This window comes from Homo sapiens, chromosome 3, assembly GCF_000001405.40.
Source record: "Homo sapiens chromosome 3, GRCh38.p14 Primary Assembly".
Taxonomy (NCBI): Eukaryota; Metazoa; Chordata; class Mammalia; order Primates; family Hominidae; genus Homo; species Homo sapiens.
In genome coordinates, this window is record NC_000003.12 from 194,619,705 (window position 1) to 194,632,423 (window position 12,719).

Sequence of the window (12,719 nt, forward strand, 5' to 3'; positions counted from 1 at the left end):
ACACCCCAAACCCTGCTGGGTTTCTCCCTATGAAGGGAACCCTAGCTCTCGGCTCTTCCTCCTGGAACCAGAGTCACTGAGAGGCAGCAGCAGCTCCTTCCCTAGAAATACGGCATGTTTCCTTTCCTGAGTCCCCAGGGCAATCTCACTCTATCGTCCTGCCCAGGGGCCCTCAGGCTTCAATACCTTGTAGTGATGAGGAGACGACTACCTCCTAAGGCAGGGGTAATGCTGGCGGCTCTCCAGATGCTGGGCACTGTACAGTGTCTTACCCTGAAGTTCTTCCTTTTACTCAACAGGAAGGGGCTGGGCACAGTGGCTCACACCTGTAATCCCAGCACTTTGGAAGGCCGAGGCGGGTGGATCACCGAATGTCAGGAGTTCGAGACCAGCCTGGCCAACATGGAGAAACCCTGTCTCTACTAAAAATACAAAAATTAGCTGGGCGTGGTGGTGCATGCCTGTAGTCCCAGCTACTCGGGAGGCTGAGGCAGAAGAATCGCTTGAACCCAGGAGGCGGAGTTTGCAGTGAGCCGAGATCGTGCCATTGCACTCCAGCCTGGCTGACAAGTGAAACTCCGACTCAAAAAAAAAAAAAAAAAAAAAAATACCAGGAAGGGCCCACCCCCAACCTCTTCCCTGTCTTGGTTCTGTTCTCTGAGACTTAAGAGAACAAGGCTGCTCTTTCTGCCCCCACACAGCCCTTCTGATTCCTGCACTCATCAGCTTCCTTTTTTCCAGGCCAGATTAGATTGCTCTCTAAGTGTTTGCTGACTCCTACCATGATCAGGTCCCAGGTGCCTGCAATGCAGTGGGAAATGACACAGACAAGGCCACTGCCCACAAGGTGTTAACATTCCACCTCAGGACCGGGCAGCAACCGGGAAAATAAAGGGGCACATTTCAGGTTGTTACAAATGATCTGAAGAAAATAAAGCAGAGTGAGGGGACACAGTGGTGGGGCTGGCCTGGGGGCTGTTTTAGGTGGGGTGGTGTTATGAGTTGCAATGTGTGCCCCCAAAAGATGTTGAAGTCCCTAGGCCGGGCGTGGTGGCTCAAACCTGTGAGGCCAAACACTCTGGGAGGCCAAGGCGGGCAGATCACTTGAGGTCAGTAGTTCGAGACCAGCCTGGCCAACATGGTGCACTCTCGTCTCTACTAAAAATACAAAAATTAGCCGGGCGTGGTGGCGTGTGCCTGTAATCCCAGCTACTTGGGAGGCTGAGGCACAGAATCACTGGAACCCGGGAGGCAGAGGTTGCAGTCAGCCGAGATTGCATCATGCACTCCAGTCTGGGCAACAGAGCGAGACTCTGTCTCAAAAAAAAAAAAAAAAAAGATGTTGAAGTCCCAACCCCCAGTGTCTGTGAATGCGGCCTTATTTGGAAATAGGGTCTTTGTGGATGATCACGTCAAGATGAGGTCATTAGGATGAGTCCCATTCCAATGTCCTTATAAAAAGGAGCAAGTCGGACACAGAAAGGTACGGAGGGAAGGCCACGAGAAACCCAGGGTTACCACAAGCCAAGGGGCTACCCGAACCTGGGAGAGGAGCGAGGCCTGGAACAGATCCTTCCCTGGCGCCTGCAGAGGGAGCATGGCCCTGCCGGCACCTTGCTCTCAGACTTCTGACCTCTGGCACCGAGACAATAAACTTCTGTTGTTGAAAGTTAGTGGCACTTTGTTACGACAGCCCTAGGGAGCTACTACCGGCGGTCAGGGCACGGTGCCAGCTTCTTCAAAGGCCTTCATGCAATGTGGTCTCCCAGCTCTGACACCACCCTGGAGAGCCACCCCGGTGGGCTGCTGAGCTGAGCCCAGTGCTCACCACTCTCCCCTCCATTAATCTAAAGACAGGACACCTGCTGATGAGGCCCAGGCCCTGCGAGGCTTCTGGCAGTCACAGCACAGAATGCAGCTTCACTGACTTCACCAACAACCGCGAACAACCCTCCAGCCCTGAATCCTGTTCCCCTGGAGCTGCTATTCAACCAAGATGCTCCTGGGCAAGTAATTTTTTTTTTTTTTTTTAGATGGAGTAGTGCTCAGTCACCTAGGATGGAGTGCAGCAGCACGATCTCGGCTCACTGCAACCCCCACCTCCTGGATTCAAGTGATCCATCCTGCCTCCACAGTAGCTGGGATTACAGGCACCCGCCACCACGCCTGGCTAGTTTTTGTATTTTTAGTAGAGACGGGGTTTCAGCATGTTGGCCAGGATGGCCTTGAACTCCTGACCTCAGGTGATCCACCTGCCTCGGCCTCCCAAAGTGCTGGCATTACAGGCATGAGCCACCGCACCCAGCTGATTCTTTTCAGACTAAATGGGCCTATGACTTGCCATGGAGTTGGGTTTGCCCACTGTTCTGTCAGTGAGACAGGAACAGTTGTCTCAGAGTCGTCTGCAGAGGAAACTTGGCAGAGCAGCGGTCACACGTCCACAGTGTCTTGCTGTTTCTCAGGCGCTTTCGCACGTGGGGGCTTTTCCTGTGTGCTCTCCTCTGCCGATGGCCTTTCCCTAGCCTGTGTCCTCAAATTCACGCTCCCTTCTGAGGTAACGTGACGCCTCCCCACCACCCCACGGTCTGGCAGTGTAAACAGTTTTCACCCTTGCTCATTTGAAGAGCGTAGGAGCCTTCTCTCTCTTCTGAAACCCCAAACATTTGTTTCTATCTTTCTTGAAGCGTGAGGAGATGCTGCTTCACATTCCCGTGTCTTCCATGAGACTGAGCTCCCGGAGGGCAAGCGCTCGCCCCTGCTCACATCTTACCCCCCCCAGCACTGGCCGACACAGGGCCTCCCTCAACGTGGATGCCTGGAGAATGCCTGCCCATAAGACACTCTTTTTTTTTTTTTTTTTTTTAGACGGAGTTTCCCTCTTGTCGCCCAGGCTGGAGTGCAGTGGCACAATCTCGGCTCACTGCAACCTCTGCCTCCTGGGTTCAAGCGATTCTCCACCTCAGCCTCCAGAGTAGCTGGGATTACAAGCATGCACCACCATGCCTGGCTAATTTTTGTATTTTAGTAGAGACAGGGTTTCACCGTGTTGGTCAGGCTAGTCTCCAACTCCTGACCTCAAGCGACCCGCCCCGCCTCGGCCTCGCAAAGTGCTGGGATTCCAGGCGTGAGCCCCCGCGCCCGGCCTAAGACACTCTTGATCTACACAGAACCTCACACCTGGCTGCCTGTCCGGTGTCAAATCTCCTTCTCTTATGGGTTCAGCCTCAGGGGCTTCTTCCTCAGAGCCTGCTTTTCATTTGCTATAGGAAATGGGGAAGAACACACGGGCTTTCCCCGAGAGGCTCCCGCCGTCCTCAGGACGCCCTGGGTTGGCTGCCCACTCTCCACACACACCCCCTCCTTGCTGTCATACACACTAACGCTCTTCAGGAAAAGCTGAGCCCATGTCCATGCACCCACGGTGACGCCACACCTCCGCCCCATGACCCTCTCAGGATGCTCCCAGATGCCCTGAGACTGTCATGTGACCCACAGTCCCATCCCCACCCCCGGCCTCACAATTCTGGAGAGAGGGGGGATCCGAGAAGCCCAGGAGCCAAAGGCAGCAACGCTACCCAGCAGGTAGCCGAGGATCTCAGTATTTTCCTGCAAGAACGAACAGGTGATCCACCATCAGTACTCTGCAGAGACTGCCCATGTGCCCCAAGAAACAGCCAAAGCTCAGGAGTCCTTTTCTGCTTTTAGAGGGTTCTTCCAACAAAGGAAGGCTTAACCCCACTCCCCTAGCCCCGGCCTCATCCCACCCTGGGCATTTGGCAGGACATGCAGTACCCCGAGTCCTCCCCACGGTGGCCCAGCCTCACCTGCAGCAGGCTCGCTAGCAGCCTCCGCTGTGGCCCCCGGATGGTGGCTGAAGCCTTCGGGACAGCAACCCACAGAGCCCAGCACGGGCCCAGGCTCAGCGGCAGGGCCAGGGCAAACACACTGGCCCTGAGCTGCCGCCTCCTCTTCCTCTCTCGGGCTTCCCGATCTGCAACAGACACCAAAATCCCACATGGCTCCTGGAAGCCAGACCTTGTCAGATCAGATAGCTGCGTGGGAAGAACTGGTGTCAGCTCCCCACATGATGCTGAAGCGGGTTCCCACATTATTCTGCAGGCCAGCTCCTCCCCACCCTTCAGGGCCCTGTAGTTGTGCCACCTCTTCAAGGAGTCTTTCCTCTCCACCACTGACTGCACACCCCACCCCCATAACGTGCTGCCCTCCTTCCTCAGGCAGAGATGACATTATCTTCTCTCTATGCATCTGCGTGCAGACAGCAGTGCCTCTTCTGGACTAGAGCGCCTAAGGATAAGGCACCATCCTCTGGTGGTTTCTACAATCTCCACAGAGCAGAACCGGTACAAGTGTGGTACAAGCATCGACCCGTGAATCAGCGATGGCACCAGCGGGAACTGTGCGCGGGACAAACAGCAATGAGCAGTGTCTTTGTCCCTGAACTGTAAGATAGGCACTCCTCTGAGCAATTCTGTTTATTTTTTCTTTTTGAGATGAGGTCTCATTAGGTTGCCCAGGCTGGACTTGAACTCCTGGGCTCAAGCGATCTCCCACCTTGGCCTCATGAGTGGCTGGGATTCCGGGTGTAAGCCACTGCCCAGCTCTCTCCTGAGAAACTCTAAGAAGAGCATTTCTCTTCTGGGCAGCATTGAGCCGCTGAGGGCATGCTTCACTACACACTGCTGCAGCACCCCCTCTGATTCATTTATTATTTTTGAGACAGGGTCTCGCTGTCACCCAGGCTGGAGTGCAGTGGCACAATCACAGCTCACTGCAGCCTCCACCTCCTGGGCTCAAGTGATCCTCCCACCTCAGTCTCCCAAACAGCTGGGACCACAGGCATGCACCATCATGCCCAGCTACTTTTTAAAATGTTTGTAGAGATAGGGTCTTGCTATGTTGCCCAGGCTGGCCTCAAACTTTTGGCCTCAAGCAATCTTCCCAACTCAGCCTCCCGAAGTGCTGGGATTACAGGCATGAGCCACCACACCACTTGGTTCATCCCCTTTTTTTTTTTGAGACAGAGTTTTGCTCTTGTTGCCCACGTTGGAGTGCAGTTGTGCGATCTGCAACCTCCAGTTCCCGGGTTTAAGCAATTCTCCTGCTTCAGCCTCCCAAATAGCTGGGATTATAGGTGCATGCCACCACATCCAGCTAATTTTTGTATTTTTTTAGTAGAGACAGGGTTTCACCATGTTGGCCAGGCTGGTCTCGAACTCCTGACCTCAAAATGATCTGCTTGCCTCAGCCTCCCAAAGTGCTGGGATTACAGGTGTGGGCCACCATGCCCGGCCCCCTCATCCCCTCTTTTTGAACAAGGGCCCAAGCACATGGCTGACCCTTCTCAAGAAGCCGCAACCACAGACACTCGGGGCCACTCATCCTGGCCCAGTCATTTCCGACCCCTGCTGTGCCTGTGGTGGTGCCCTGTGCCCATTCCTGGCATCCACTTCCAGTAGCTGTGAAGCTTCGCTTGACCACCCCGAACTTGCACACTAAGCTATCACTGCTCATGCCCATGCCCTGCTCCACACCTCCTCCTAGCCTTTGCCCATGCTGCTCTGTGTGCCTGGAGTGCCCTGCCTGTGGCCCCAGCTCTAGTGCCCCATGCTTCCTTGACACCAGCAGCCCTTCCCTCCCTCTGGCTGCCCACAGTGTGCACACACCTCCAAGCTGGCAGCCCTAATGAGACACTCTCCTTCTTTTTTGGGGGGGGGGGGTTGTTTTTGTTTTTTGTTTTTTTTGAGACGGAGTCTCGCTCTGTCACCAGGTTTGTTGAGACGGACTCTTGCTCTGTCGCCAGGCTGGAATGCAGTGGTGCGATCTCAGCTCACTGCAACCTCCGCCTCCTGGGTTCAAGCGATTCTCCTGCCTCAGCTTCCCGAGTAGCTGGAATTACAGGCGCACGCCACCACACCCGGCTAGTTTTTGTATTTTCAGTAGAGACAGGGGTTTCACCATGTTGGCCAGGATGGTCTGGATCTCCTGACCTCATGATCTGCCCACCTCAGCCTCCCAAAGTGCTGGGATTCCAGGCGTGAGCCACCGCGCCCAGCCTTTCTCCTTTGTTTGTGCCTGGCTGGGGCCCGCTCTGGGAGTGATAAGGAGTAGGCATTCGGCGTGCTGATGAATGAATGGGTGAATAAAGACAGGAAAAGACAGCCACACACTCACCTGAATTAGACTTGAATTTGGATCCACAGACTGGGAAGAGAATGAACATAAAGTTCACTAAGTCAATAGCTGCTAGGTAGGCACCAGTGAAAACCTGGGAGCAAACGGGAAGAGAGTCTTGGCATTCAAGCATCTTTCCTCAGCCCCTACAGAGTTTGTCATCCGGGACCCTGTATCACATGGGTTACACTGATGCGGTGCTTTCTTACGTACTCCTCCAGGGACACCTCCTGCCAACCCCGGAAAAGTCCATTATCATGTCCACTTGGCTGATGAGGAGATGAGGTGTTTACATGACTGAACCCACGGTATGCAGATGCCCACCAGCAGGGTTGGGATAAGAGCCCAGCCCTCCAGCTCTATTCCACACACTTCCCACTGCGTGAGGCAGTCTCTGCTGTGTACCCTTGGCCCACTGAGCTTCTCTGGCGCTCAGTTTCCCCATCTGTAAAACGAGCAAACTAACAGTGCTTCCCTCAAAGACTGTCAGGAAGGTTACTTGAGACAGTACATGGGCAGTGTTTACACCAGTGTCTATGGGAAAGCAAACTACCTCTAAAGGCACCAGCTCCTCTGATAGTAGAGTTAGCGGTGAAGAACTTGCATTGTGGAGTTTGAATCGCGGAATCTTGGCACTGCTACTTACTAGATGGGTGACCCTTAACCTCTCTATGCTTCAGTCTCTACATCTGTAGAACAGGAATAATGAGGACACTCATGTCATAGGATGCTGGGATTCCAGGAGTCAACACAAAACGGTCTGTAGTGCCAAGTATGTAGTTAAGTTTTTTTTTTTTTTTTTTTTGAGACGGAGTCTCGCTCTGTCACCCAGGCTGGAGTGCAGTGGCGTGATCTCGGCTCACTGCAAGCTCCACCTCCTGGGTTCACGCCATTCTCCTGCCTCAGCCTCCCGAGCAGCTGGGACTTCAGGCGCCTGCCACCACGCCCGGCTAATTTTTTTTTGTATTTTTAGTAGAGACAGGGTAGTTTTTAATAAATATTATTATTGGACTTGAGCTGGGACCTACTGTATTTTTTTTTTTTTGAGACGAAGTCTTGCTGTTGCCCAGGCTGGAGTGCAGTGGCACGATCTCGGCTTACTGCAACCTCCGCCTCCCAGGTTCAAGTGATTCTCCTGCCTCAGCCCGCTGAGTAGCTGGGACTACAGGCACGCGCCACCACGCCCAGCTAGTTTTCTCCATGTTGGCCAGGCTGGTCTTGATCTCCTGACCTCAGGCAATCTGCCCGCCTTAGCCTCCCAAAGTGCTGGGATTGCAGGCATGAACCACTGTGCCCAGCTGGCCCTATTGTATTCTATTAGCTAATGAGAATGGGCACCCAAAATGAAAGGTGATTTGCTTTTGAGACAACACTGCTTGAAGCAGGGTCTAGAATGCTCCAAATCTGTGCTCTGCCAACTGAGCTGCCTTCCTTCATTTCTACCTGGATGGGCATAAGACCAAGACCAGTCCCATGAGGTGCCTCCGCAGGAGGGCACAACAGGTTTTCCTGGGGATATGTGTTTTGGGATAGGAGCCTTCCACACAGGTTTGAGGGCCTACGCTTTTGAGAAACTTGAAACTACTTCTCACTTGCCCCAAAGCCTACACCACTACCTGGGAAAGGACTCAGCCACCCTACATAAGCTGGGGCTGGGTCAAAGCTCTAAATGACTATGTATTGGGCACCTACTAGGAGCCAGGTGCTGTTTTAAGTGATGGGGATACAGCAGTGAACAAATCCTTGCCCTTGTAGAGCTGACACTCTAATGGGAGTTCACATACAAGAAGTAATAAACAGGTCAGGCGTGGTGGCTCAGGCCTGTAATCCTAGCACATTGGGAGGCTGAGGCAGGCAGATTGTCCTGAGGTCAGGAGTTCGAGACCAGCCTGGGCAACATGGTGAAACCCCATCTCTATTAAAAATACAAAAAATTAGCCAGTGTGGTGGCGTGCGCCTGTAATCCCAGTTACTCGGGAGGCTGAGGCAGGAGAATTGCTTGAACCCAGGAGACGGAGGCTGCAGTGAGCCAAGACCAAGTCATTGCATTCCAGCCTGGGCGACAGAGTAAGACTCTGTCTCAAAAAACAAACAAGCAAAAAAAAAAGTCACCTTCTCAATAAGACCTCCCCTGCTTATAATGGTGACCCACCTCTTCCACCAGTGTTCTGGATTCCCTTATTCTAATCTATTTAGAGGCCTGCCTCGGCCTCCCAAAGTGTTGATTACAGTGTGAGCCACTGCTCCTGGCCGTGAGAAGTGACTTTTGAGCAAAGACGTGAAGGACTAAGCAGGCAGCCAAGTGGATATTGGGAACAAGAGCCTCTGAGGGGGGCAGAAGGAACAGCCAGGCACAGGTTCTGAGGTGACACTGTGCTATGCATGTTGCAGCAACAAGACAAAAGCCACCACGGCTGCAGCAGAGAGAAAGGCCAGGCCTCCCTTAGTGCTGGCCTAAGCCACTGTCAGCTGGAGGCCCAACATACCTGGATTGTGAGCTGTCTGGCCAGAAGAGCCCCGACGGTGTCACACAGACTGGTCAGGAGGCAGCACGCAGCACACAGTGCCGACTGGTCCTGTCTGGGTTTCTGTGCACATCTCAGATAGAGAAGCCTGGGGTGACAGGGGTGTGGACAGAACACAGCAACTGTGAGTTTGGACCCAAACGCATGTATCTAAAAAGGGCAACTGTGACCCCGCATCGTCAGGGAGCTCTTTCTGCCCGAGGTATTTAGGACGTGTTTTTGAACTGAGTTTACAGATGGGAACCAATCAGAAGACTCCAGAGCCGCCTGTCCAGATGCCCATGGCAGGAGCTAGACCTCGTGAGATGTGAAGACACCGCCTCTTTGGAGGAAGAGGAATTTTACTTTCCGACTCCAAATCAGGACGGCTCCATTTGATGACCCCCCACCTAGCACTGAAAAAGCAGCCATCGGGTTTTATTTTTTGAAAAGGAAACAGGAGGGTTATAAAAGTAACTCAGGCTGGGTATGGTGGCTCACACCTGTAATCCCAGCAGTTTGGGAGGCCGAGGCAGGAGGATCCTCTGAGGTCAGGAGTTCGAGACCATCCTGGCCAACATGGTGAAACCCCGCCCCTACTAAAAATACAAAAATTAGCCGGGTGTGGTGGCGTGCGCCTGTAATCCCAGCTACTCCGGAGGCTGAGGCAAGAGAATTGCTTGAACCCAGGAGGCAGAGGTTGCAGTGAGCCAAGATCACACCATTGCACTCCAGCCTGGGTGACAAAGCGAGACTCCGTCTCAAAAAAAAAAAAAAGCAACCCAACCACTGCAGATAACTGCAGAGCACAGTTAATTGCCTGAATTAAAAAGACAACTTGTTTCTCTGAAATAAATTCAAACGAAATTCTTCTAAACCATCTGTGAAGTGGGGCAGCCTGGCTTCTGCTGGCCTGTGTCCATGTTCTTTAAACACAGAGCCCTTTTGGCACTTGGAGCTGTCCCTCCCTCAGCGCCCCCACAGCCACTTCTCCCCTTACAGCCCCTCCCCAGTCCATATCCACTGGAGAAGATGCACGGAAGGGCAGGAAGGGGCTGGCTGTTTCTATCAGCGTCACTGATAGGGCCTCTGAAATACGTTGTTGTACATGCCTCCCGAAGGGGCTGGCTGTATCTATCGGCGTCACTGATAGGGCCTCTGAAATACATTGTCGTACATGCCTCCTGAAGGGGCTGGCTGTTTCTATCGGCGTCCCTGATAGGGCCTCTGAAACACGTTGTCGTACCTGCCTCCCGAAGGGGCTGGCTGTTTCCATCGGCGTCACTGACAGGGCCCCTGAAATAATACGCTGTCGTACCTGCCTCCCGGAGGGGCTGGCTGTTTCCATCGGCGTCACTGATAGGGCCCCTGAAATAATACGCTGTCGTACCTGCCTCCCGGAGGGGCTGGCTGTTTCCATCGGCGTCACTGATAGGGCCCCTGAAATAATACGCTGTCGTACCTGCCTCCCGAAGGGGCTGGCTGTTTCCATCGGCGTCACTGATAGGGCCCCTGAAATAATACGCTGTCGTACTGCCTCCCGAAGGGGCTGGCTGTTTCCATCGGCGTCACTGATAGGGCCCCTGAAATAGTATGCTGTCGTACCTGCCTCCAGAAGGGGCTGGCTGTTTCCATCGGCGTCACTGATAGGGTCCCTGAAATAATACGCTGTCGTACCTGCCTCCCGAAGGGGCTGGCTGTTTCCATCGGCGTCACTGATAGGGCCCCTGAAATAATACGCTGTCGTACCTGCTTCCCGAAGGGGCTGGCTGTTTCCATCGGCGTCACTGATAGGGCCCCTGAAATAATACGCTGTCGTACTGCCTCCCGAAGGGGCTGGCTGTTTCCATCGGCGTCACTGATAGGGCCCCTGAAATAGTATGCTGTCGTACCTGCCTCCAGAAGGGGCTGGCTGTTTCCATCGGCGTCACTGATAGGGCCCCTGAAATGATACGCTGTCGTACCTGCCTCCCGAAGGGGCTGGCTGTTTCCGTCGGCATCACTGATAGGGCCCCTGAAATAATACGCTGTCGTACTGCCTCCCGAAGGGGCTGGCTGTTTCCATCGGCGTCACTGATAGGGCCCCTGAAATAGTATGCTGTCGTACCTGCCTCCAGAAGGGGCTGGCTGTTTCCATCGGCGTCACTGATAGGGCCCCTGAAATGATACGCTGTCGTACCTGCCTCCCGAAGGGGCTGGCTGTTTCCATCGGCGTCACTGATAGGGCCCCTGAAATAGTATGCTGTCGTACCTGCCTCCAGAAGGGGCTGGCTGTTTCCATCGGCGTCACTGATAGGGCCCCTGAAATGATACGCTGTCGTACCTGCCTCCCGAAGGGGCTGGCTGTTTCCGTCGGCGTCACTGATGGGGCCTCTGAAATACGTTGTCGCACGTGCCTCCTGGAGGGGCTGGCTGTTTCCGTCGGCATCACTGATAGGGCCTCTGAAATAATACGCTGTCGTACCTGCCTCCCGAAGGGGCTGGCTGTTTCCGTCAGCGTCACTGATGGGGCCTCTGAAATACGTTGTCGCACATGCCTCCTGGAGGGGCTGGCTGTTTCCGTCGGCATCACTGATAGGGCCTCTGAAATAATACGCTGTTGTACCTGCCTCCCGAAGGGGCTGGCTGTTTCCGTCGGCATCACTGATAGGGCCTCTGAAATAATACGTTGTCGCACGTGCCTCCCGAAGGGGCTGGCTGTTTCTATTGGCGTCACCGATAGGGCCTCTGAAATACGTTGTCATACCTGCCTCCCGAAGGGGCTGGCTGTTTCCCTCAGCGTCACTGATAGGGCCTCTGAAATATGTTGTCGTACCTGCCTTCCGAAGGGGCTGGCTGTTTCTATCGGCGTCACTGATAGGGCCTCTGAAATACATTGTCGTACCTGCCTCCTTGCTACATTTCTCTGGAGACACCGAGACAGGGTGGCAGCGCTGGCTTCATTTCCACTCAGCAGAGGGTGGTGCTCATTCCACATCCTTAGGACGATTTAGCTGATTCTGAGCGCCTGTCCTTGGGAATGGTGGATGAGTACAGAGGGCTCTTGGCTTTCTAAACATTTCCTGACCTGCTGGCCCAAGCCTGAAGCTCACAGTGGCAACATCAACTTCAGTCTGGGCCCTGGGCTCCTAAAACCAATTGAAGACCAAGGAGTGGAGATTCTTAAATTGGAGACTCCCAGAGGCGGACCCCAATTAGAAATAATTTATATCAACCCTCCCATTTGAGAGGACAAAACTGAGGCCTCTGGTGAGAAGGTGAGTTAATGGTGGTCTTCTGGCTTCACACGCGGGGGCTTTGCTCCGTACCCTGTTGTTCTCAGCCACTTCCCCAGCTCTTGGGGCCAGGGTGCCAGCTGACCTTAACCCAGCCCACACACCACTCCGAAGACACATTCTTCTAAGAGAAAGGGGAGCAGGGGAGGTTCAGGGATGGCAAGGCCCTGAAAACAAATGGGTATGTCCAGATCCCAGGCAGGGTGAGAAGCAGAGGCTCACTCTTAACCCCTCCAAGGTTGGCAAAGTGCCTAACAGTGCTGGTCTGAGGACAACTGTGAGGAACAAAAGGATAATGCGTGTCCAGCGCCTTGTTAGTTTCCAGCCTCTGATCTGAACAGTTTAATCTCTCTTACCAGCCTGCCCCTTTCCAATAGGATCTGGGGTTTTGGTTCTTTCCTTTCACTCAGACAAGTTATTTAACCTCTCAGAACCTCAGGGTTCCCTACAGAAAGTGGGGGTAACAGCACCTACCTCCTGGTGCTGATATTGTGAGTGGCAGGCATTGAATGAGTTAATGAATGCAACACTGGGCCTACAGTAAATGTTCTAGGCGTCTTTTTATTTGTATTGCAGTACTGGGTAGTGGGGCTGCAGAATCTCTGCAATACGACCAAACGCCTTAGGAGAATATCCACTGAGTGCCTACAGGGAGACAGTTCTAACCTCTCCCAGGGGTGCTGGTCCTTTCTCCCCTGCCAGGGAATGCTTGGGCGGCACCATCCTGAGCACTGCTAGTGGATTTCCA

At 53.8% G+C, this 12,719-nt stretch overlaps 1 protein-coding gene across 4 annotated transcripts in view, besides 1 other annotated feature; it reads right to left on the reverse strand.

Annotated features, from left to right (window-relative positions):
* Positions 1-12,719, reverse strand: part of TMEM44 (transmembrane protein 44) — a 45,742-nt gene that overhangs the window by 32,027 nt on the left and 996 nt on the right. For all 4 annotated transcript variants that reach the window (NM_001166306.2, NM_001011655.3, NM_138399.5 and 1 more), the window contains exons 2-5: positions 8,679-8,805; positions 6,193-6,286; positions 3,825-3,991; positions 3,520-3,606 (exon numbers count right to left, since the gene is read on the reverse strand). In NM_001166306.2, the coding sequence (NP_001159778.1) occupies positions 3,520-3,606; positions 3,825-3,991; positions 6,193-6,286; positions 8,679-8,805 (475 nt within the window). The remainder of the gene's footprint in view (positions 1-3,519; positions 3,607-3,824; positions 3,992-6,192; positions 6,287-8,678; positions 8,806-12,719) is intronic.
* Positions 2,945-3,488: an enhancer, noted in NCBI's record as "H3K27ac-H3K4me1 hESC enhancer chr3:194343378-194343921 (GRCh37/hg19 assembly coordinates)". NCBI's record gives its function as "activates a minimal SCP1, AML or CMV promoter by ChIP-STARR-seq in naive H9 embryonic stem cells {active_cell/tissue: H9 hESC(naive)}" and the evidence as "EXISTENCE:reporter gene assay evidence [ECO:0000049][PMID:30033119]".